General features: G+C 45.6%; 1 long non-coding RNA gene, 1 other non-coding gene and 1 pseudogene across 2 annotated transcripts in view, besides 1 other annotated feature; 1 reads left to right on the top strand and 2 right to left on the bottom strand.

Annotated features, from left to right (window-relative positions):
• LOC107986098 (uncharacterized) overlaps nt 1-8,021 on the bottom strand; it is a 222,236-nt gene extending 214,215 nt beyond the window's left edge. Inside the window, exon 1 of the long non-coding RNA XR_001740754.1 lies at nt 7,899-8,021. This is a non-coding gene — a long non-coding RNA (uncharacterized LOC107986098). The remainder of the gene's footprint in view (nt 1-7,898) is intronic.
• RNU6-557P (RNA, U6 small nuclear 557, pseudogene) lies at nt 10,998-11,107 on the top strand (annotated as a pseudogene).
• Nucleotides 21,165-21,268, bottom strand: LOC124906349 (small nucleolar RNA U13). Its single transcript, XR_007096316.1, has one exon. It is a non-coding gene; the product is annotated as a small nucleolar RNA U13 (small nucleolar RNA).
• Nucleotides 22,342-22,401: an enhancer, noted in NCBI's record as "active region_20098". NCBI's record gives its function as "activates an Ori minimal core promoter by ATAC-STARR-seq in GM12878 lymphoblastoid cells {active_cell/tissue: GM12878}" and the evidence as "EXISTENCE:reporter gene assay evidence [ECO:0000049][PMID:35858748]".

Here is a 26,448-nt window from a genome sequence, read left to right as displayed (position 1 = left end):
GATGGCAGTTTCTACCCTGGTCCAAAGCAGATGGAGGGACCCGGAGAGAGATTAGAATAAAGAGGGAATTGGCAGCTGGGTCTTCCTTTGGGAGTGAGGGAGGCCAGCGAGGATGAATTAAATGTTTAAAAAAAAAAAGGTGAAATGAGCTGGAATCCAGCCATGGGCTCGTCTTGCATGTGACAGCAGCACATATGTCCGAGGAAGCTGGACTCTGTCACATACACTTTTCAGGGGAGCCCATGGTAGAGTGGAGAGGGGCACAGAGTCAATGAGGCCCAGCCCATCTCACCCATCCTCATCCACCATGCCCCAGCCTCAGCAGCCCTCCAATCTCTTATCCTGCCTTGCCCGGCCTGCCCCACCTCGGGACCTTTGCATGGGCTGGGCCCTCCACCTGGACTGCTATTTCCACATCTTTCCATGGATGGAGACTTCTCATCCTCAGGTCTCATTCATCTGTCCCATCTCCATGACGCCTTCACCAAACATCCTATTTAAAGCAGTCCTTCTGGCCAGGCATGGTGGCTCACGCCTGTAATCCCAACACTTTGAGAAGCGGAGGCAGGCAGATCATCTGAGGTCACAAGTTTGAGACCAGCCTAGCCAACATGGTGAAACCCCGTCTCTACTAAAAAATACAAAAATTCACCGGGTGTGGTGGCGGGTGCCTGTAATCCCAGTTACTTGGGAGGCTGAGACACAAGAATCACTTGAACCCAGGAGGCGGAGGTTGCAGTGAGCCAAGATGTCTCCTTTGCACTCCAGCCTAGGAGACAGAGCGAGACTCTATCTCAAAAAAAAAAAAAAAAAAAAGCCGTCCTTCTTCCCTGCAGCACCCCCACACTGTCTGTCAAATCACCCTCTTTATTCTCCTTAGAGCACCCATCAAAAGCATCTTGGTTTTTACTTTACCTGCTCTGAGTCCACCATCCCTTCCTAGGATGAAGACTCTGTGAGGACTGGGATCTTGTCTTTCTTATTTCTTATTCCCCATTGCCTAGCACACTACCTGGGACAAGGAGCCCACAATATATGTTTGATGAATGAAAGGATGAATGAATGGAGTCACATGGACCTGGGTTCACATTCCAGCTCTGCCATTATATGACCTTGGGTAAATATTTAACGACTTTAAGCTAGCTCCTTATTTTTAAAATGAGTATGATCAAAGCTCCCACCTCACTAGATGGTCATGAAGATTAAGCAAGATGATGCCTGTCATGCCCCAATCCCAGTGCCAGCTGCAGGAAGTGTTTTGTGCAGAACAACAGGGAACAGAGGTCTTTCCAGAGGAAATCTGGCCTTTTCATGAACCAGTGCCACATTCAGTTCTTCCCTAGGCTTCCAAATCCATAATTCTACCCGGAACAGGTACACCACAGGTCTCTTTATGGCTGCTGTAGACAGTTGAAGATAATTATCAAACAGGTTCTGGGGACCAAAAATCCAACAGGTGTGGTGGTGGGTGCCTGTAATCCCAGCTACTTGGGAGGCTGAGACACAAGAATCACTTGAACCCAGGAGGCGGAGGTTGCAGTGAGCCAAGATGGTTCCTTTGCACTCCAGCCTGGGAGACAGAGCGAGACTCCATCTCAAAAAAAAAAAAAAAAAGCCGTTCTTCTTCTTCTTTACAACCCTGCTCAAAGATCAGTTTTTAACAATTAACAGGGCCTCCGAGGCAGGTTCTGACTTACTCATTAAGGCAGGAAACAAGCCTCTCTCCACCGTCCACTTACAGATTTAAATACCAATGATTACAGCCAACTAGGGCCACTCCCACAAGCTGACCAGCAGGATTAATTTTTACAGAATTTAACCATTGTTGGATGTATCTATCCTTGAATTCTCAAATTCCCAGCAAGAAAACTTTGGATTTCTTTTATTAGCTGCTGCACATGCAGAGAAGACAACTCCTACATGCATGGGGTTGGTAGCAAAGAGACTCCTCTTTCAGAACAGCCAGGAGCCAGGTTGTTCTCAAAGCATCGTGCTCCCTCTGCTGGACATTGCCTAAACTGCAACTCCAGTATCCACATCAGCCCCCTCCTGAGTGCCTGCTACTTTACCAGGGACAATGGGGACACACGACGACCTTTTTTACTCCACTGAATGAAAGATAATCCCCTGCCACATGTGACTTTTATTAAGTTATACATGGGAGGTGGGAGTGCAGACTCTTAAGATAATGAGAATTAAGGCTTTTGCCAAAATGAGGCCACACCTCGAAATCCTTTGCTGTGGATTTCAAAGCAAACTGGCACCTTGAGGGGAATGGGCGGTGGGGGAGTGTTTGGGCTTGTTTATGCTGAGCAAGAAAGGGCTTCCTGTTGCTAAGAAGGCCGGATCTGAAGCTCCCAGAGCCTCCATGGGCTGCCAACATTTCTTACACAACCCCCTTTGATGGCCTTGGCGCAAATTAATGAAACTGCACAGAGGTGATTTCCCTGGAAATCCACCGGGCTGAGAATTCAGGGAAGTTGAGGCTTGAGGCAGAAAGCTGGGGCTGGGGTGCCGCCAAGCCTGGGACAGAGGGCAGCAGGCGGACGCTTTCCCCGGGGTGCAGAGGGGGGTCCCCGGTCACTCGAATACAGGGGTGGGAGGGTGGGCCAATGAGGCCCAAAATGAGATCACTAGCAAGACCCCATCAAGCTCACTCCTTTCAACCATACGTTTAGTTGTAGACGTTGCCTGCTAGAAACAATGTCTTCCCGTCATTCTTGATAAAAGTGGATTTTCTGCTGCTAAATTGAAAAGTCCCCGACTTTCCTTCTTGTCCTCTTCTGAACAGCTCTTTCCAACCCCCCTCCCTCCTGCCCTATGGAGATTACCCCTTGTTCACCATAAATGGCCAAAACCCAGACACAAGGCTGAAGCCCGTCCATGGGAGGACAGTTGAGAGGGTGACGGCATTCCACACCACGGAATGGGCCCAGGATGGGAAAGACGGTGTGTAAGCCTCGACGCCGGGCCTGGAGGGATGGCCAGGTATACTGAGTGAGAAAAAACCACACAGAAAAGTTGTACAGTTCCATGTCAGACACCCTGTAAGTGGCCAGCAAGGTTTCTAAGTTATCTGTATGAACAAGAGGACACACCCCAAATAGTCAGCACTTGCTACTTCAAGGGAGCCACGTTGTTTGACAGGGAGGGGAGACTGGGATGTCCTTTCTACACCTGGGTGTCATGAGTCTGGTAAGAAGAGGACCCAGCTCTTGCCAGGTGGGTCCCAGATGTGCCTCCGTGGAGCCTTTCCCTCCCTCCCACCTTGATTTCCCCTTTGAGCTGTGTTGTCAGCTTTCACTGGAACATAGCTCATGGCTCGTGGCATATTTTAGCACTCATACATCAGTCCTATTTGCCCTAGGTTTTGAACTTTGTAAGGCATGGACATGTCTTTGTAGCCCCTATAACTAGGCCAGCCTAGCCTACAATACATGCTCAATAAATTCTTTCAAACTCTCTGGAATGAGAAGAAACATTCAGTAAATGTTTCCTAGCAACTGGGAGAAGTGAATGACTTAGAGCACACCACAAATGGAACTCCAATTGAATTAAAGAACTAAATAGAGAGAACCAAATACTCAGTGCATCGCTGTGGTTCTTAAATTTCAGCAGGCAGCAGCATCACCAGGAGGGCTTGTTAGTTTCTGATTGCATAGGTCTGTGGTGGGATCTGAGGTGTGCTCTTTCCAGTCGCTTCCCAGGTGACGTTGATGCTCCTAGGCCAGGGACCATCTGCTGAGAACCGCTGTCCTATGGTCTTAGGGTAACTTACTCCATTTCAAGCAAAGGAATAAATTAAAACAGAAAAGGGAGATTGGACCAACAGTTCTGGGACTTGGTTACCCATCAGAATTAGGCCCACCCAGCGTGCTGAAACGTAGATTCCAAGGAGGTCACCCTCCAAAGCTGACGGTGGAGCCCAGGTGTCTGTATTTTTAAAACAAATACCCCCAAGCAAGTCTAAGTCACAGCCAGGTTTGGGAACTACTGATTCACCTACACATATTTCAAACTTCAGAGAATGGAAAACACCACCAGAATGGAAGATAAAGAGAAAAACAAGGGTGGATTTGCATGGAATAAAATAGAAGCCTGAGCGGCTCACTCCTTCCCTTCCTTCCAATCTCTGCTCACATGTCACCCTTTGAGAGGCCTTCCCAATCACCTCATATCTAATTGCAGCCTGACCCAGCACTTCCTGTTTTCTCTACCCTGCTCTAGTTTTTGTCTCTGTAATAGTAATTGCCACCTAACATTAGGTATTTACCCACTTTGATGCTTGTCTTCTGTCTCCCTCTAGAATGAAGATGACAGGAGGTAGAGAACTTGATCTCTTTGGCTCATTGCTATTCCTTGGGTGCCTGGACCATACCAAGCCTCAAGAACAATTTGTGGAGTGACAGAATGAACTATGATATCAGTAATTTGGGGTTCATTGAGTCTTGTTTTATGGCTTGGTAATGGTCCAGTTTTACAACTGTTTCCTGAATATCAATAAGGATGTGTCTTTGCTAACTGTTGAGTACAGAATTCCACAAATGCCCTGTAAGTCAAGCTTATTGCTGATGTTATTGAAACTTTCTACATTCCTATTACATTTTTGCCTACTTGTTTGCGGCAAAATCTCCCACTATAATAGTAGACATTGTGTGACTAATAGTAGACAAATGTGTGACAATTAGGCACATTAGATACATTATCTCTCTTATCATAGTAATCGTTCCAGTTACTATCACTATGTAGTAAATTACCCCAAATTTCCTGGCCAAAAAAACCCACCATTTTCTCATGCTCACAGATTCTATGGGTCAGGAATTCTTGTCCAGCAGAGTAGGGACAGCTCATCTCTGTTCCACAGTACCTGGGGCCTCAGCCTGGCAATGCCAAGGCTGGGGCAACTGAGGGCTAGGGACCAGGATCGCCTGCAGGTGTCTTCATCACGGGTGTGATGTTGATGCTGGCTGTCAGCTGGGAACTGCAGTGGGGATGTCACTCCCTGAGGTCTTTTGACACATGTTGGCTTGGGCTTCCTCACAACATGGCAGCTGGGGTCCAGGAGTGAGCATCCCAGGAGAAAGCACATGGCCTTTTAATGATCTAGCCTCAGAAGCCACTCAGCATCACTCTGCCATACCACAGCCAAGGCCACATTCAAGGGGAGGGGACATGAACCCCACCTCTTGATGGCAGGACTGTCAAGGTCACATTATATGAAGAACATGTGGGAGGGGAGACAGTACTGCAGCCATCATTGGAAAATACAGTCTGCCCCAGCACCCCTCTGAAATCGATTTTATTGGTCTCAATTTTAAATTTATGAGAACTAAGACATAGAAAGGTTAAGTAACTTGCCCAAGAGCACTCAGCTAGTTAGTGGCAAAGTGAAGACTTAATCCTAGGTCTCCCTGACTCTAAATTACATGACTGATTGACAGATAATCTATATGTGTATGTTATGTGTGTGTGTGTGTGTACATATATATAATTCATTTATACTCAAACTTATTTTTAAAAATAATTTAAAGTGGCTAAATGCAAAAACAAAAATCATAATGTTTCATATTCAGAAAGTAATTCCCACAACTTATTCATCTACTACTAGTATTTTTGGGTTCTCAGAAAGAGACATTCTTACTTTATGTTTCCCAAGCATAAGGCTAGTTTTTATTTCTGCCTAATGCAGTTAAGAGAAAGAAGGTGAACTAACAAGCAAGAATCAATCAACTTTCCAGGACCTTGGGAGGACACAAAGCTCCCCTCTGCTGCCTGCCCAGCTGAAAGAGCTTCTCTCAGACTTTCAGCCTGGAGACGGCCCAGAGGTCGTGGGACTTGTATCCCAGGAGGACCAGATGAGCCCGCCTTTCTCCTCTTCTCCTCCACCTGAAGAGCAGAAATAATTACCCTTCCCCTTCCCTACTGCACAGGAATACGCCAACCACGTGAGCACGTGAGATCCAAGTCACTGGAGTCCAAGCACAGAGCATTTTCTTTTCTTTTTTTTTTTTTTTTTTTGAGATGGAGTCTCACTCTGTCACCCAGGCTGGAGTGCAGTGGTGCGATCTTGGCTTACCGCAATCTCTGCCGCCGGGGTTCAAGCGATTCTCCTGCCTCAGCCTCCCGAGTAGCTGGGATTACAGGCACCTGCCACTGCACCTGGCTAATTTTTGTAGTTTTTAGTAGAGACGAGGTTTCACCATCTTGGCCAGGCTGGTCTTGAACTCCTGACCTTGTGATCCACACACCTTGGCCTCCCAAAGTGCTGGGATTACGGGCGTGAGCCACCCCGGCCGGCCCTGCACGGAGCATTTTCAAGACTTCCCTGAATTGCTGGATAGAAAAGTTAACAGGACCCTAGAGACCTTGGGCTGTTGTGGGCATCAGAATCCTGGGAACCCTTTTTCGAAATACAAATTCCTGGGACCCCCAACCAGAGCTTCAGAATCCGCAGGCTGGGGCCTGGCACGTATTAAAAGCTCCCCACGTGACTCTATTGACCACCCTGGATGTAAACCAATGATCCAGTTTGAGGCCCATTATGCAGCTGGTAAACAGAGAACCAGGGGTGCAAGTGGCCCCCACATAGTGACCTAGAAGGTCAGTGCCAGGCTGGGACCCCAGCTCCGGCAGCCTCCCTAAGATTTCCTTAAAGTACGTTTTCCCTGCTCCAACGTGTGCCATGAGCTTGTTGGTTTATCAGGCTGAGCTGCTTAACATAAATGAATGGCAACAGCAAATTTCCAGGACAGAGTCACAAAGGTCACCAGACCTTGGTGCAGGACAAGCTGTTCCAATCATACACGTTGCCTATTTTCATCCTCACTACAGGCCAAGAGACAAAACTACAATCATGCCCATTTCACAGATTGGGACACAGAGAACTTGAGAAGACATCTGTTTCAGCTGGGCTCAAATAGAACTAAGTCACCACATCACTGCTGCCTCCACTTCCCTAATAGCTAAGCTCACCTCCCAGGCACCAGTTTAAGCCTTTTACAAAGTCTAGGGTTGTGCGAGATCTATGCTGCACTAAATATACTCTTATTATTCCTATTTAACTCATGATCCACTGACACTAACATATATTGAGGCCTATTATGCAGCAGGTGCTTTGTCAGGTGCTAGTCATTCTTCGTAGCATTTAATTATTTCAACAGAAGGCCCATTGCTCTACCCATTTTAGAGATCAGGAAACCAAGGTTTGGAGAAGTGAGTAATTTGACCAAATTTGCACAGCTGCTAAATGGCACAGGCGCCTATGCTTTGATGCTCTCGTCATAGTATATGGACGGGATGGGTGCAGTGGCTCACACCTGTAATCCCAGCACTTTGGGAGGCTGAGGTGGGCGGATCACTTGAGGCCGGGAGTTTGAGACCAGCCTGGCCAACATGGTAAAACCCCATCTCTACTAAAAAGTACACACACACAAAAAAAATTAGCTGGGCATGGTGGCTCATGCCTGTAATCCCAGCTACCCGGGAGGCTGAGGCACAAGAATCAGTTGAACCCAGGAGGCAGAGGTTGCCATGAGCCAAGATCACGGGCTCTGGCCTGGGTGACAGAGTGACACTTTGTGTCCAAAAAAAAAACAGTACATGGACAGTGTACTGCCTTCATCTGGAGAATGTAAGCTCCCTATGGGCGACTTCCATTCTATATGTAACTTATATACTAATAGACAACTTATAAGCTACTTATCCTAACTAACTTATATATAGTATAAGTGTGGTTTTGCACACCATTTTTGCTCAATGCCAGACCCATGCATAGCGGCGGGCACGCTGTAGGTCTTCCAATAATCCAGTTCAGTGCAATTAAATCCAACTCAACATGACAAAGACTGAAACGTTCAGCCCCTCCTGGAAACAAATAGTACCTGCGGTCCACACCTCACCTTTGTAGCTCCCGGCACTGGGCCCAGCACCCAGCAGGGACTCCTGGGTGACAGCCGTGAATGCTGAATACCGCTTCGAGGGGAGCTGTTTCCTCCGGAGCGTCCTAGGGGAGGATCTACAAAGAGGCCTTTTTGTTTGCGGCTGCGCAGCAAGCCCCCAGCAGGCCTCTGGGGAAAGCTGAGCAGAAAGCAGGCGGGTGGTTGAGCAATGGTGGAGGTGGGGACTGCTCCCCCTGGATCACCCTCCAGCACTACCAGTTCCCTCTCCAGAGCCAGCAACCCCGTGGGCGTCCAGCAGCCCCTCACTCCTGCCAAGCCAGGCAGGAAGCATGGCCTCTGCTTACTCCCAGTCCAGTCCCCTGAAGGGACTTGGTCTAAACCAGTGAGGTGTTTTCCACCGAAACTCTTCAATCAGCTCTTGTCATTCACTGGCCTCTTCTCTGTTTGATAGTGAGGCTTTGCCTTTGGAAAGGTTTTGTTCTGCCCTTCAGGGACACCCAAGCTGGTCCTGAGATAGTGAGTGCAGCGTGGCTTTTCCGAGGGTGTGCTCTACTGTAGAGGGTCTCTACTAAAAATACAAAAATTAGCCGGGCGTGGTGGTGCATGCCTGTAATCCCAGCACTTTGGGAGGCCAAAGCGGGGGGATCACTTGGGGTCAAGAGTTCAAAACCAGTCTGGCCAACATGGCGAAACCGCATTTCTACTAAAAATACAAAAATTACCTATGCATGGTGGTGGGCGCCTGTAATCCTAGCCACTCAGGGGCTCAGGCAGGAGAATCCCCACAGGCAAGTGGAGGTTGCAGTGAGCCGAGATCTGGGTGACAGAACAAGACACTGTCTCAAAAAAAAAAAGAAAAGAAAAGAAAGGCATGGTGGTGGCAGGAAGCACAGGAAATGACTCATGGGCATCTGGGAGGAAGCAGGGCACACTTGAGTGGAGAGGAGGGGTGACCAGGAGGGGAAGACAGGGAGTGCACCCCAACAGCAGGGGCGTCGCAGCAGGGAATGGGATTTCACCGGGAGAGAGAAAATGATTGCCCTGGGTCCTTGTTAATTGAAATACCAAAATTCCCCAGCAGATGGAAAACAAAGGCTTCTAAGAGATTCACTGTGCACCTCATTGGGTCGTATCTGAGACTACAGCGACACGTGTGGCCACCATCAGCACACATCCCATTAATGGTCCACACAAGCACAAATTCACATGGTCCATTCAGTCATAGACTAAACATCCAAATATGTAAGCCTGGCTGGGCATGGTGGCTCACACCTGTAATCCCAGCACTTTGGGAGGCTGAGGTGGGCGGATCACTTGAGGCCAGGATTTCGAGACCAGCCTGGCCAACATGGCAAAACCCCGTCTCTACTAAAAATACAAAAATTAGCTGGGCGTGGCCCAGCATGCCTTAATCCCAGCTACTTGGGAGGCTGAGGCAGTGGAATTGCTTAAACTTGGGAGGCTGAGGCAGGAGAATTGCTTGAACCTGGGAAGCGGAAGTTGCAGTGAACCGAGATTACGCCACTGCACTGCAGCCTGGCCAACCCAGTTGAGACTCCGTCTCAAAAAAAAAAAAAAAAAAAAAAGTAAGCCTATGCTATGGGTTCTTTCTCATCCAGTCTTGATGTCATAAAATATGGGACAAAAAAAAATGTTGTAGCATATTGAAAATTTATCATAAATGTAAACAACAGGAACTGAGTAGAACTCTGTCAGAGGAGACAAACATATATTTCCTTGACCAACAAGACATAGAAAAAGTTAGCAAAGTTTTGATTAAGCCAAATATTTTCTGAATTCCAGGAATTTTTACATAAATATAAAACTGAGTATAAGAGCATTTTTATTTTAATTTTTTAAAATTTTAAGCCCATCCTTTAATATTTTAGAGTAGAATTGGGAAAGTACCCCTCAGTAACAAGGAAAACTGTACAATGGAGTTAATTCAAGTCCTGCTTTTATGTTCGTCACTGAAGAATTCTGTGGCACACTGAAAATTTCGCTTTTATAAGCTTTTTAAAGGAGAGAGAAAGAGAGAGAGACGGATGACTCCAGCTCCATCACCCAGGGTGGAATGCAGTGTCATGATCACGGCTCACTGCAGCCTCCACCTCCTGGACCCAAATGATCCTCCCACCTTGGCCTCCTGAATAGCTAGTGCCACACACAGGCTTGCACCACCATATCCACCTAATTAAAAACAAAAATTGTAGAGATGGGGGCCTCTTGCCGTGTTGCTCAGGCTAGTCTTGAACTCCCGGCCTCAAGCAATCCTCCCTCCTTGGCCTCCCAAAGTGCTGGGATTACAATCGTGAGCCACCACGCCTGGTCTCAAAACTACGTTTTCTTCTATGTTTTTCATTTTATGATAATATCCTGGTATGTTTCCAGTTCACCTACAGAATGGCTCCTCCAAAAAACTATGAAGTACTTATGTTTTGTCTATTTTCTGAAGACAGTGAGGGTGAATATTGTCCCAGGTATAAACCTTTGGAAACATAACTTTCAGGATCCTGCAGGCCCTTTAAATTATAATTCTGTGTTCAAGGCTTGTCTTCTCCAAAAGCAGATGGAAGTTGGCCATGACTTACAATCATCATTGAAATCATGAACCTAAATCTTACACTCTCCACACTCCTTATGCCCCCTCCAAATGTCCCATAAGAGCTCTCAGTTCCTACTTCAGGAAGGAGGGAGGGAGGGAGGAACAAAAGAGGAAGGGAGAGAAGGGAATGGGGAATGGGAGAAAGAAGCAGTTTAGGTTACTTCAAAAGCAGGGCTGGGTGCGGTGGCTCATGCCTGTAATCCCAGTACTTTGGGAGGCCAAGGCCGGCGGATCAACTGAAATCAGGAGGTCAAGACCAGCCTGGTCAACATAGTGAAATCCCATCTCTACTAAAAATACAAAAATTAGTTGGGCGTGGAGGCAGCCGCCTGCAATCCCGGCTACTTGGGAGACTGAGGCAAGAGAATCTCTTGAACCTGGGAGATGGAGTCTGCAGTGAGCCGAGATCGCGCTGTTGCACTCCAACCTGGGAGACAAGAATGAAACTCATCTCAAAAATAAATAAATAAAAATAAATTTAAAAAGCAGATAGCATGCTTGCTTCGGCAGTACATATACTAAAATTGGAACAATATAGGCAAGATTAGCATGGCCCCTGCATTTAAAAATAAAAAATAGGCCAGGTGCAGTGGCTCACACTTGTAATCCCCACACTTTAGGAGGCCAAGGCAGGCGGATCACCTGAGGTCGGGAGTTTGCGACCAGCCTGACCAACAGGGAGAAACCTCGTCTCTACAAAAATACAAAATTAGCCGGGCATGGTGGCACATGCCTGTAATCCCAGCTACTTGGGAGGCTGAGGCAGGAGAATCGCTTGAACCCAGTAGGCGGGGGTTGCGGTGAGCCAAGATCGCGCCATTGCACTCCAGCCTGGACAACAAAAGCAAAACACTGTCTCAAAAAATAATAATAAAATAAAAAATAAAAAATAATTAAAAAAAAAAAAGCAAGTAACATATACTCATTGAACCAGGATTCCTATTTCTAGGAACTCATCTTACATACACACTTGTCCGCTTGTGAAATGATACATGTACAAGATTAAAAGACTCTTTGTATTAGCAAAAAATAAAAATAAAAATTGACAAGAACCTAAAATTTCATCTGGAAGGGATAAATTAATTACAGATTAAATCTGTACTATTAGGAGTTAAACAGGTACAATGGAATACACTGCAGCTATAAGAAAGAATAAAGAGGGTCCGTATTAACTGTTGTGTAATCATCTTCAAAATACACTGTTAGACGTAAGGGGTAAAAAAAGGGCCCGGGCCTGGTGGCTCACGCCTGTAATCCCACCACTTTGGGAGCCCAAGGCGGGTGGATCACTTGAGGTCAGGAGTTCGAGACCATCCCGGCCAACCTGGTGAAACCTCATCTCTACTAAAAATACAAAAATTAGCTGGGCATGGTGGCACAAGCCTGTAATCCCAGCTACTCGAGAGGCTGAGGCAGGAGAATCGCTTGAACCCGGGAAGTGGAGGTTGCAGTGAGCAGAGATCATGCCACTGCACTCCAGCCTGAGAGATAGAGCAAGACTCTGTCTCAAAAAAAAAAAAAAAAAAAAAAGACACAGCTCAGAACAATTCTATTGGATGCTTCCACTGTGTAAACAAGAGTGAGATAAGACGTAGGTCCAGGTATTTGATTACATTTGCATACAATGTATCTGGAAGGACCTGTATGAGCTGGGAACCCCGGACACCCTCACAGAAGAGAACTGGGTGGGCAAGGGATGGAATCTTTTTGGTGTCTTTAACATTTTGAATCATATGATTGCATTCGCCTTTCAATATAAACATTAAGCTCAGTTGTGGTTTTTTTTTAGACGGAGTCTCGCTCTGTCGCCCACGCTGGAGTGCAGTGGCGCAATCTCGGTTCACTGCAAGCTCCGCCTCCCGGGTTCACGCCATTCTCCTGCCTCAGCCTCCCGAGTAGCTGAGACTACAGGCACCCGCCACCACGCCCAGCTAATTTTTTGTATTTTTAGTAGAGACGGGGTTTCACTGTGTTAGCCAGGACGGTCCCGATCTCCTGACCTCGTGATCCGCCCGCCTCAGCCTCCCAAAGTGCTAGGATTACAGGCGTGAGCCACCGCGCCCGGCTAAGGTCAATTTTTTTAATTGAACAGGCAAAAGAAATCCAGGATCACTCCATGTCTGGGTTTGGCCAATATTTTCCCAAGGCACCAGAGAGTAAATATTTAAGCTTTTCAGGCTAGTAAGAGCTCAATCCCCACCACCCTCAGCAATGTCTTTGAAATTCAAAAGCAGCCATGGACAGTAAGTAAAGGAATGGGTGTGGCCACGTGCCAAGAAAACTTTATTGAAGATGCTGAAACTTTAATTTCATGTAAGTTTCACATGTCTTGAAGCATTCTTCACTTGATTTTCCCCCCAATTGTTTAAAAAATGTGAACCCATTCTTAGCTCACAGGGCTGTAATCGGCCAGCTCCTGGTCTGTGGTGATGGCCTCTTCATTTCTGCAGTGATCTCACTATAGCTTAGGGGTGTGTCCAGCTCGGGGCACCTGTGTTAAGAGGAATATTAACCAGCGAACTGGTATGCCATCAGTCTGGTGCCAGGATGGGAGGAATGTTGAAAAACTTGGGGCCGTAGATCCTGAGGAAAGAAAATTTGGGATTAGAGGGCAAGAGCAAAGTGGAATGAAACCTGCCATCAAATAGGTGATGGGCTGCGGGAGGGGGATCCCGGTCTCAGATGCAGCGTGGCCAGGTAGGACAAGGTGGCTTTGGGGCTTCACCCAAAGGAGAAATATTAACCATTCCTAGAGCTTCCGTGGAGAAGGAAGCCCTGGAGCAGCGACCAAGATGCACTTAAGGCACCAGTGGATCAGTGGATGGGATGCCCTCGGTGTCCCCACCCCATCCCTGTCCTCACCACCTCAGGGCACATGCACCCTCCACGGCCAGAACCTGCATTTCTTTTTTCTTGCTTGCTTTCCCTCTTTCTTTCTCTTTCTCTCTCTCTCTCTCTCTCTTTCTTTCTTTCTTTCTTCTTTCTTTTTTTTTTCTCGCTCTGTCACCCAGGCTGGAGTGCAGTGGCGCGATCTTGGCTCACTACAACCTCTGCCTCCTGGGTTCAAGAGATTCTCCAGCCTCAGCCTCCTGAGTAGCTGGGACTACAGGCTCCCACCACCATGCCCGACTAATTTTTGTATTTTTAGTTAGCGACAGGGTTTCACCATGTTGACCAGGCTGGTCTCGAACTCCTGACCTCAAGTGATCCGCCTGCCTTGGCCTCCCAAAGTGCTGGGATTACAGGGGTGAGCCACCGCGCCTGGGCGTCCTGCATTTCTTTACCTGGGAGCTTCCTTGGCTGCCACTGTCTGCTCTGCCCACCCACAAGGCAGGTCAGAAGCACAGGGAATTAACCCCCCTCAGAAGCAGCACTTCACCCGTGTTGGTGGGTAAATGTCCCAGTTGTGTCCCCACTGGGAGAATAGCTCTGTGGGGTGTAGTCTACACCAAAGAGTTCCTCAGCAGGGCCAAGCAAGGGTGAGCCAAGAGAAGAACTCACTCCCAGGCCCTGCAAATTTTTAAACTTTAATAATTATACATGGCCAGGCATGGTGGCTCACGCCTATAATCACACTTTGGGAGGCCAAGGGAGGCGGATCACTTAAGGCCAGCTGTTCGAGACCAGCATGGGCAACATGGCAAAATCCCGTCTCTACTACAAATGCAAAAATTCGCCGGCTGTGGTGGTGCACACCTGTGGTCCCAGCTACCGGGGAGGCTGAGGTGGGAGGATCACTTGAGCTCAGGAGGTCGAGGCTGCGGTGAGCCAAGATAGCACCACTGCACTCCAGCCTGTGCAACACAGTGAGACACTGTCTCAGACAAAAATATATATATATATTATATGGGCTGTCAATCAAGTGCGTAATAATTTTTTCTTTTCTTTGCATTTTTTGAGGGGAAATTTATCTTCCGAGCCTGACTCCTCCATGCCACCTGAAAGAAGACGTAACCTCATCTCATTCCGATTCCCTCCATGATTTCTGGGGATTTCTGCATCTCTCTGAGTTGAATCCAGTGATTCATATGGTTTCCCTCGGCCTCCTTCTCCTTCCCTGGGGTTGCTCGGGGTCTCAGTCCAGACTGACACATCCACTTTCTCTCTCTTCTCTCAGCAGCCTTCTGAGCGGCGATCACCTGTTCTGCGTGTTTCCATGTCTTCTCTTGAACCCTGACCCAATCTTGCGCTTACAAGTTTAGAACGTTCCTCCCTTTGTTTCTCCTCTTCACCAGCGCCCTTAAACTGAAGAGCTCCCACCTGTAGCAGGCCAACAGGTAAGCCTAAAGACAGGAGGTTGCTTGTGTCAGTTACCTGTATGTCCCCTGTCTATGCAACAGCTCAGATATGTGTCCAGCAGGCATTTCCGATATTTTCAAGACCCAGCTCCCAAAGGTGGCCCCATGTGGACCCGTCCCCACCTCAATATAGGGCAGTGACTCTGGCCAAAAATCTTGCTTGGCTCATGTTTCTTGGCTCATGTTTCTTTCATAGTCCATATTCAATCGGTCAACAAGTCTTGTCAGGTCCATCTGCAAAATGTATCCAGAATTTTATGCTGTAGAATATTATTCAGCCATAAAAAAGAATGAAATCCTGTCCTTTGCAGCAACATGGATAGAACTGGAGGTCATTATGTCAAGTAAGCTGGGCACAGAAAGAGAAATATCACATGTTCTCACTCATATGCAGGAACTAAGAAAAAGTGGATTTCATGGAGGTAGAGAGTAGAATGATGGTTACCAGTCTGAGAAGAAAATCAGGGGATGAAGAGAGATTGACTACTGGGCACAAAAATACAATTAGAAGGAATAAGATCTGGCCAGGTGCGGTGGTTCACGCCTGTAATCCCAACACTTTGGGAGGCCAAGGCAGGCGGATCACGAGGTCAGGAGTTCGAGACCATCCTGGCCAATATGGTGACAGAGTAAGACTCTGTCTCAAAAAAAAAAAAAAAAAAGAAGAAGAAGGAATAAGATCTAATGTTCAATAGCACAGTAGGGTTACTATAGTTAAAAATAATATTTTGTGAGTGTGTGTGTGTGTTTTAATACAGAGATGGGGTCTCACTATGTTGCCCAGGCTGGTCTGAAACTCCTGGGCTCAAGCAGTTCTCCCATCTTGGCCTCCCAAAGTCCTGGGATTACAGGCATGAGCAACTGCACCTGGCCAATAATGTACTATATATCTCAAAATAGCTGGAAGAAACTTGGAATGTTCCCGACACAGAAAAATGACAAATGTTCAAGGTGATTGATATGCTAATTACCCCGATTTGATCATTACACATTGTGTGCATGGATCAAAATATCATACTTACACCATAAGTGTGTGCAAACATTATGTATACATAAAAATTAAAATTAGCTGGGTGTGTCTGTAGTCCCAGGTACTTGGGAGGCTGAGTCTGTAGTCCCAGGTAGAGACTGAGGCAGGAAGACTGCTTGAGCCCAGGAGTTCAAGACCAGCTGGACAACATAGACTCTGCCTCAATTTCCAAAAAAAAGAGAAAAAAAATGCCGGGCGCAGCGACTCACGCCTGTAATCCTAGCACTTTGCAAGGCCGAGGCGGGTGGGTCATTTGAGGTCAGGAGTTGAAGACCAGCCTGACCAACATGGCAAAACCCCATCTCTACTAAAAATACAAAAAAAAAAAAAAAAATTAGCCAGATGTTGTTGCACGTGCCCTGTAGTCCCAGCTACTCTGAAGGCTGAGGCAGGAGAATCACTTGAACCCAGGAGGCAGAGGTTTCAGCGTGCTGAGAATGCACCACTGCACTCTAGCCTGGGCAACAGAAAGCGATTCTGTCTCAAAAAAAAAGAAAGAAATTTTAGAAATAATTTCTTTTAATGTAGCCATAATTTAACCACTTCTTTCAATGAGAACTTCTCGCTTCTCTCTCCCTCTCCCCTTCCTCCTCATGGCTCTTAATTTCTATCTATTGCCATCTCAGGACATTGTTTGATTTTCTCCACGGTGCATTTTGCTTTCTGAAAGTATCTTGTTTGTTCAATTCCTTGTGTGACGATTTTCTGTCTCCCCTTCCTCTAAAATGTAAGCTCCCTGAAGACAGAGACACTGTCTGGTTCACACCTGCTAGATGAATACAAGTGAAGGCATTGCAGAACTTGCCTTCTTCAAACATGTGCAGCTAACAGCTTCCAGCACCAGAAAATTGAAATTCTCTTTTGCCTTTTCTTTAATGCTCTGCCTCCATTTCTAAGCTGGTTTTCTTCTGGGTCTCTGTTCTGATTCTCACACACCTGAGTGTGACTTACCCTGCTTCCCTTGCAGATGTCATTGTTCGTCCCTCAAAATGTTTGTGGCACATTTCACGGTAAGGCTCTGAGACAGCGCTCCAAATTGTGTCTACATATCTTCTGTTGTGGTTACTTTGAAGTTTGTTGAATTATATTGTTTTGACAGAACTGTCACATCTCAAAACGTGTTGCTGACTAAAAACATATGCAGAACCTTTTTTCCTTCTTTTTCTTTCTTTCCTTTTTTTTAAAAAAGGAAAAACTCTACCATCATCTTGCAACTAAACGTATGGCCACAGGAGGGCACCATGAGGCCGCACTTCTGCTCTACGCAAAGTGGGTGGAAAATTGAGACCTGACGGTGGGGACAGTGCAAAACTCTGGGACTTTTATTCTTAATCTCTTTCTTCATTCCAAGATCTACCGCCCAGTGGTAACACACCCTTTGGAGAGCAGGCTGAGAAAATCAAATACTGGTACAACATTAACAAATAATAATAATTAATAATAAGCTGTGAATGTCTTCCAGTTCGTAGAAACTATAAAAGCACATTTACTCAGATATACTTTGTTCTAAGTTATTTTTATCAGGGTTGAGTAAAAGTGTATAGATCAACAGCTATGAGCAAAAATGGAAGAAATCTGAAACTCCTGTAATGACAGACTTCAGGAAAATGTCCTCTATTGAAGTAAAAAAAAAAAAAAATTAGCAAAGTGACAGGATTGGGATGCAAACCCTGGCTGTGTATACAGTGTCTGTGTTCTGCTATTACACTCCATGTTCAGCACAGCCCCATATGGGAGTCACTAGTCACATGTGCACATATTTAAATTTTAAATTAACTTAATTAAAAGTAAATAAAATTAGGCCGAGCGGGGTGGCTCACACCTGTAATCGCAGCACTTTGGGATGCCAAGGCGGGTGGATCACCTGAGGTCAGGAGTTCGAGACCAGCCTGATCAACATAGTGAAACCCCATCTGTACTAAATACAAAAAATTAGCTGGGCTTGGTGGCACATGCCTGTAATCCTACCTACTTGGGAGGCTGAGACAGGAGGATCACTTGAACCTGGGAGGTGGAGGCTGCAGTGAGCCGAGATTGTGCCATTGCACTCCAGCCTGGGCAACAAGATCGGAATTCCATCTCAAATAAATTAATAAATAAATAAAATTACAAATTCAGTTCTTCAGTTGCACTAGCCACAGGTTCAAGAGGTCAACAGTGAAATGACGCCTGTGGCTTCTATTGCATAGTACAGATATAGAACATTTCCAACATCATGGAGAATTCTATTGAATGGCAGTCGCATAGACAAAGCCTTGCAGTTTGTACTCCTAACCATGTCACTTTACTGCCTCATGGAATCTAGCAGTCTATCTACCTTGCCTATCTATTGTCATAGTTTCCCTTGAATTCAAAACAAAGTTTAAAAATATTTCATTCTTCTACTAAACAAGACGTTTACTTAGTACCCACATTTTACCCACCCATTCAATATAACATACCAAAGGTAGCAAAGCAAATAGAAAATATGCTCCCTGCTATTAAAAATTTAGAATCTAGGCTGGGCACGGTAGCTCATGCCTGTAATCCCAGCACTTTGGGAGGCCGAGGTGGGTGGATCATTTGAGGTCAGGTGTTCGAGACAAGCCTGGCCAAAATGGTGAAACCCCATCTCTACTAAAAATACAACATTAGCTGGGCGTGGTGGTGCACGCCTATAATCCCAGCTACTCGGGAGGCTGAGGCAGGAGAATCCCTTGAACCCGGGAGGCGGAGGTTGCAGTGATCTGAGACAGTGCCACTGTACTCCAGCCTGGGCACAACAGAGTGAGACTCCATCTCAAAAAAAAAAAAAAATAGAATCTACTTAAATAATGTGAGTGAATTATCTGATGCCTACCACAGTTGGGCAATACTGTATTCCAGTGGAACAAATGCACAAGATCGTGGAAAAGCATTATATTATAGGCAAATTTAACTAATGAAACATTATTCACCAAATATTTTCTTGCACTCTTGTGGCTTACAACATTACGTTTCTTCCACAGAATCACTGACTCACATAGTGGTTCAATCTATTTCATCTGACCAAAGCCTGTGTAAGTCATCTGCAATTCACCTGAAGCAGTGTATTGTTTGCTATATTACAGGACCTTTTCACTTGATGTGAAATGAAATCAGAAAACCCAAAGACATCTTGGCTCTGACATGCTCTGTAACAGTGGCTTTTCTGGAACAATGATTTTGCAACAGAGTAAGGCCAAAATTAAACTTAGGTAGGAGTCATGATAGAGCAACATGCACAGGTGTGAGGCAGAGGGCAGAGAACTTGAGTGTGGGCAAGCCAGACCTTGAAAAAAGAAGTCATTCATCTCTGTCAATTTTTTTTTTTTTTCACACAGAGTCTCATTCTGTTGCCCAGGCTGGAGTGCAATGGCATGATCTCAGCTCACTGCAACTTCCACCTCCCAGGTTCAAGCGATTCTCCTGCCTCAGCATCCCAAGGGACTACAGGCATGTGCCACCATGTCCAGCTAATTTTTGTATTTTTAGTAGAGACGGGGTGTCGCCAGGTTGCCCAGGATGGTCTGGAACTCCTGGCCTCAAGTGACCCGCTCGCCTCGGCCTCCAAAGTGCTGAGATTACAGGTGTGAGCCACCACCCCCAGCCTTTCCATCAATTTTATCAATGACAACCTCAAAGAGAACACTTGACCTTCAGTAATACTGCAAATGAGATGGTCTAATGGATTTGGAAGAAGTGGGGAGACAAGAATAGAAAAAGGCTTTCAAGGCCGGGTGCAGTGGCTCACACCTGTAATCTCAGCACTTTGGGAGGCCGAGGCAGGTGGATCACCTGAGGTCAGGAGTTCGAGACCAGGCTGGCCAACATGGCGAAAACCATCTCTACTAAAAATACAAAAAATTAACCAGGCGTGGTGGCATGCGCCTGTAATCCCAGTTACTTGGGAGGCTAAGGCAGGAGAATCGCTTGAACCTGGGAGGCAGAGGTTGCAGTGAACAGAGATGGCACCATTGCATGCCAGCCTGGGTGACAGAACGAGACTCCATTTCAAAAAGAAAAAAAAGAAGAAGAAAAAGTCTTTCAGTATGCACTTATTGACAGTTTTTCACATAAAAGGGGATGAAAAACAGAAAGTTAAATAAATAAGTTGCACATAAACTTTGTAAATTGCCCTCACACAGGGTTCAGGCAAAGGGGAGGCTGAGACTTTGGCATCAGAGAATCCTACTCAACTGTTAACTGGCTGTGTGTCATTAGAGAGATTAATTTCCCTCTCTGAGCCACCATCTTGCTTATCTCTACAATGGAGATAATAACAGTCCCTACTTCTGGGAGTGTAAGGATTAGGAAATTAAATCTTTTTTTTTCTTTTTTTTTTTTTTTTTTTTGAGACAGGGTCTCACTCTGTCGCCCAGGCTGGAGTGCAGTGGTGCCATCTCGGCTCACTGCAGCCTCTGGCTCCTGGGTTCAAGCGATTCTCCTGCCTCACCCTCCCAAGTAGCTGGGGTTACAGGTGCCCACCACCACACCTGGCTAATTTTTGTATTTTTAGTAGAGACAGGGTTTCACCATGTTAGCCATGCTGGTCTCGAACTCCTGGCCTCAAGTGATCCGCTTGCCTTGGCCTCCCAAAGTGCTGGGATTACAGGCATGAGCCACTGTGCCAGGCCAAGAAATTAAATCTAAATCACCTGGTGCATAAAATGCCAAAATGGCTCCACTAATGACCTTTTATTTCACATCCCCAGCTGTACGACTTGAGAAGTGCCACTCTCTGGTGTCAATTTTAAAAGAAATGTCTCTGTGTTATTAAGGATTACCAATTGGGTCCCCTTTGAAGTTCCTCAAGAGATACCAGGAAAGCTTTCAATAGCTTTTAACTCAAATAAATTTATGAAAATGATTATAACACCTCCATCATTGCCATTTGCCCCAGACATTGCTACCATAGGGACCAAGATGTTGTCAAGGACCTGCTTTTAGACTTTGTTGACATCAATGTCAGATCAATGGCTGAAATAAAAGCATCTTCAAAATACTTCATAAAGCAACTGAATGACATGAGTTGCACAGAACATCCAAGCCTGCTTGGAGTGCCATGTTTGGTCAAGGAGAGGGTGGAAGAGGGAAACTCAAGACCCACTACCTGCTTTCAAAAAGTCTTTCTCCATAAATAATACAGGAGTTTTAAAAAGATAACAGATACCTCAAGCATTCACTGGAAGAATCACATCCACAAATTCTAATTTTGGGTTTGTACTGACCACAAGAGTCTGTGTCCAACACGTGTAAAAGACCTTTTGGCAAATTCATCACTTTATATACAGTTTGATTTTGGATACCTTCTTCATTTTACTTTTCTTTTTTCACATCAAACGGGGAATGTGCCAACATCGTAACAAAGTCTGAGGGAGGCACATCTCACATACGAGCGTGAAAACCCAATCATCACACTTATGAACTATAAAAGGATCCTGGATTTTATTAACGAGCACATTTCTGGGTTTTGCTCTGCCAAGCTTCATGCTTTCATCCTCAGGCTAGTCTCCTCAGAGATAGAAAGCAGCTGTTCACTTCAAGACCTGAGTCTGAGTTCCTTGTAGGAAGAAGAGGTCAGAGAAGGGAAAAGGTAAAGGGGCCAAGGGCGCAGAACTTTCTCCCAGCAAGAAAACATCACTCCGGACTTCTGCTTTCATCTTGTCGGCCAGGGCTGTATCACAGGGCTATTCCTAGGAAGCTGGGTGGCCAGCAGGTCGCCTTTCCACCCTTTATAGAAAAGGTAGGCAATGGCCAGGCGCGGTGTCTCACGCCTGTAATTCCAGCACTTTGGGAGGCTGAGGCAGGCGGATCACTTGAGACCAGCCTGGCCAACATGACAAAATCGCATCTTTATCAAAAATACAAAAATTAGCTGGGCATGGTGGTGCATGTCTGTAATCCCAGCTACCAGGAGGCTGGGGTGGGTGAATCATTTGAGCCCGGGAGGCGGAGATTGCAGTGAGTCAAGATGGCACCACTGCACTCCCGCCTGGACGACAGAGTGAGACCCTGTCAGAAAAAAAAAAAAAAAAAAAACTAGGCAAGTGGAGAGTGACAGATAATGGCTTTGGGACATCAATCATTGGTCTATCAAGGGACCCAGCCAAGAGTTTTCAGTGTTTTCCTTTGCCGGTTAAAGACACTAAAACACTACCAGCAACTCTCACCTATTACCCCTATCATTTCCTAAAAGAAAGGGTATTTGAACACTGCCAAGGCCGGGCACAGATGCCTGTAATCGCAACACTTGGGTAGGCCGAGGCAGGCAGATCTCTTGAAGCCAGGAGTTCAAGACCAGCCTGGCCAACATAGCAAAACCCCATCTCTACTAAAAATACAAAAAAAAAAATTAGCCAGACGTGGTGGTGGGTGCCTGTGGTCCCAGCTACTCAGGAGGCTGAGGTGGGAGGATCACTTGAACCTGGGAGGAGGAGGTTGCAGTGAGCCAAGATTGCACCACTGCATTCCATCCTGGATGACAGGGAGCTTGTCTCAAAAAAAAACAAAATGAAAAAGAAAAAAAAAAACCCCACAAAACCTGCCAAAAGAGGAGGAAAGACAATCTCAGAATAATGATCTGCCCACACACTGCACCATCACTTTCGTTTTGTGCAAAATTCCCCCCATTGCTCTTAGTTTCTGAGACATTTTCAGTGAAACGTCAGTCCTGGGAGTGGTGCTGAGTGATGGTGGCCCTGCATTCGCAGCAAGATGCGTAAACCACAACACTGAAGGGCCTATGGCGTTCGGAGACAAAAACTGGAAAAATAATGTTTTTCGGATTTCTTCATACAAACGACCATGGAAGTAAGTCTTATTACAAACTTACACGAGTTGTCATAAATGGAATGAGAAGTAGAAGGTGGAGGGGAGGGGAAATGTCTTCAGGTAGGATACATGAGGAAATGTCTTCAGGAATAAATACACGAGGAGCAGCTGTCAGCCACAGAAGGCTTTCACAAAGGCAGCAGCAGGTTGGGCAGGTCTTGACAGAAAGCGCAGACAGCTGGCCCTCCCAGGATGGGAACGCTGACTCCACTCAAGGCATCTGGTTCATGCACACTCCGACGCAAACCGTGGTGGGATGGTAGCTTCAAGGGGTCGTGCTGTCATTTCTCTTCAGTGAATAGGTCACGTGGCTAGGGAGTTTGAATCTTTCCCTCCTTTTCCCAAAGAAGATTTTGTACCTCTCACAAACAAACCATCCCATTTAAAGGAAGAACGCAAATTTTGCCTTGGAAGAGCAGACTTGAAATCGGTCATTAAGAGTATGAAAGGTCATTTCTCCATTGAGAACATTCTAGGCATTTCAATTATTGGCAGCAGCCCTTCAAGACTGTTTTTCTGCTAATTTTCCCTCAACCTCTTCAGTTGCATTCTGAATTTTCAAAAGTAGGACCAAGCTAGTTATGAGTGACTGTAAATTTGGAGGACGGAAATACACATGAAAATAACCACTACTGGCCAGGCGCAGTGGCTCACACCTGTAATCCCAGCATTTTGGGAGGCCGAGGTGGGCAGATCACGAGGTCAGGAGATGGAGACCATCCTGGCCAACATGGTGAAATCCCATCTCTACTAAAAATACAAAAATTATCTGGGCCTGGTGGTGCATACCTGTAATCCCAGCTACTCAAGAGGCTGAGGCAGGAGAATCGCTTAAACCAGGGAGTCGGAGGTTGCAGTGAGCCGAGATCGCGCCACTACACTCCAGCCTGGTGATAGAGCAAGACTCCGTCTCAAAAACAAACAAACAAACAAAAACCACTACTTAGAGATCACTGGGTGCGGTGGCTCACACTTGTAATCCCAGCACTTTGGAAGGCCGAGGTGGGCAGACCCCATGAGCCCAGGAATTCAAGACCAGCCTGGGCAACATGGCGAAACCCCATCTCTACTAAAAATATAAAAAATTAGCCAGTAGTGGTGGTGCACTCCTGTAGTCCCAGCTACTCGGGAGGCTGAGGTGGGAGGATTGCTTGAGTCCGGGAGTGGGAGGTTGCAGTGAGCTGAGATCATACCACTGCACTCCAGCCTGGGCGACAGAGACGCCATCTCAAAAAATAAAAAATAAATAAAAAATAAAAAAAGAACAGAGGCCAGTAAACTTTTCCATCAAGGCACAAATAGTAAATATTTCAGGCTCTGTGGGCCACATGGTCACAGCTCTACTGCAGTCCTAGCAAGAAAGGAGCCACAGACAATACATAAAGAAATGGCAGTGGCTGCATTCCAATAAAACGTCATTATGGATACTGACATTTGAATTTCAAGTAATTTTTACACAAGTCACAAAATACTACTTTTCTTTGTGTTTTTTCCAATCATTAAAATATAAAAACTATTCTTACTTCACAGGCCATAAGAAAACAGGCAGTGGTCCCACGGGCTGTAGTTTGCTGATGATCCCTGAACTAGAAAATAAAATAGATAAAGCACTCAGGAACAAATTGAACAAGAAATATGCAAACCTCCATGAGGAAATTTAAACATTTTTGAAGTCACAAAAGTTAACTTGAATAAAAAGGTATACCATGTCTTTGGTTAGAGAGATTCAACATCCTGAAGATGCAAATTCTTCCACAATTAATTTTAAAATGTATTATGAGGCCGGAAATGGTGGCTCACGCATGTAATCCCAGCACTTCGGGAGGCCGAGGCAGGTGGATCACCTGAGTTCAGGAGTTTGAGACCAGCCTAGCCAACATGGCAAAATCCCATCTCTACTAAAAATATAAAAAATTAGCCAGGCATGGTGGCAGGTGCCTGTAATCCCAGCTACTCGGGAGGCAGAGGCAGGAGAATTGCTGGAACCTGGGAGGCGGAGGTTGCAGTGAGCCAAGATCGCACCACTGCACTCCAGTATGGGTGACACAGTGAGACTCTGTCTTAAATAAATAAATAAATAAAGTATTATGATCCAAATTAAAGTAGCAAGAGATCATTTTTTTCTGGAATCACACAGCTGACTCTGAAGTGGATATGACAAGATAAATAAGCAAGATTAGGTCTGGAAAATTCAGAAAAAGAAGAACAAAAAGGAAGCAGCTGTACTAGAATGTAAAACACTGTACACATCAGCAACTAAGCCAGTGTGGTATCAGCACACGAATGGACAGACAGAACACATCCAGAAATATTAATACATCCAAATGAACCCAGGACTTACTGTGTGATGAAGGTGGCATATCAAATCAGGGTGCTAAAGATGAAGTTTTTAATAAATGGTACTGGGCCCTAAAGACAAACAGATCCAAACCTCATAGTACGCATCAGGATAAAAAGCACTGCAAGAAAATCAAACATTAAATATAAGAAATGAAACCATATAAGTTAAAATGGGAGGAGCCAGATGGTGCACAGTGGCTAATGCCTGTAATCCCAGCACTTTAGGAGGCTGAGGTGGGAGGATCACTTGAGCCCCGCCTAAGTCAAGGCTACAATGAGCTGTGATCACACATTGTCCCTGTCCAGGCTGGGTGACAGAGTGAGACCCTGTCTCAAAATAAAATAAAATAAAATAAAATGGAGAAAGCCATTCTAAAACTAATTTAAAATCCAGAACCATTAAAAAGAAAAAACTCATGAATTCAAATATATAAAAATAATTTGCTTATGATTTTTTTGTTATGCAAAGATCAAAGGAAAAAGACAAACTGGAAAAACAACATGATTGTAACATCACAAAGATTAATTTCCATAATCTATCAAATAAATTCTAAAGAAAATTCTGAAATGTTCTAGAAATTCTAAAGAAAAAGACCAACAACCCAATTTGGAAAATGGGCAAAGGATGTGAACTGAGAGGTCACAGAAAAATACCAATAGCCCCTCAACCTGGGGAAAGACCTACACTGTTGGTGAGGCCATGAGAAACAGGCACCCCCATACACAGCTGGTGGGAGAACAGAACATAAAGCCTGAGGAAGGGGAATTTGATAGGAACTACCCAAATTACTGAAGCCGTTACCTTTGACAGGACCCACTTCTGGGAATCCTGATTGGAAACAAGTGGAGTGTACATCCACTCTAGAGACTACAGGAAAGAAAGAACAAGAGTGATCTCTACATGGAGTATGGTGTGAGCAGCAGGATATATTAAGTGAAAAAAGGCCAGGCACGGTGTCTCAGGCCTGTAATCCCAGCACTTTGGGAGGCTGAGGTGGGTGGATCACCTGAGGGCAGGAGTTCGAGGCCGGCCTGGCCAACATGGTGAACCCCTGTCTCTACTAAAAATACAAAAAAAAATGAGCCGAGCATGGTGGTACATACCTGTAATCCCAGCTACTCGGGAGGCTGAGGCACAAGAATTGCTTGAACCCAGGAGGCAGAAGTTGCAGTGAGCTGAGATCGCGCCACTGCACTCCAGCCTGGGTGACAGAGTGAGACAATGTCTCAAAAAAAAAAAAAAAAATGTGTAAAAAGCAAGGTGTATGCTACTTTTGTGTAAGGAAGAGAAATAAGACTACAGATAGATAGATAGAGACATAGATAGATGATAGAGATATAGACAGATGCTAGAGATATAGATAATAGAGATATAGACAGAGAAATAGATGATAGAGATAGATAGAGATATAGATAGATGACAGAGATATAGATAGATGATAGAGA

This window comes from Homo sapiens, chromosome 3, assembly GCF_000001405.40.
Source record: "Homo sapiens chromosome 3, GRCh38.p14 Primary Assembly".
Lineage (NCBI taxonomy): Eukaryota > Metazoa > Chordata > Mammalia > Primates > Hominidae > Homo > Homo sapiens.
The sequence above is the reverse complement of the archived record's forward strand: the minus strand, read 5'-3'. Positions and strand labels throughout refer to the sequence as shown.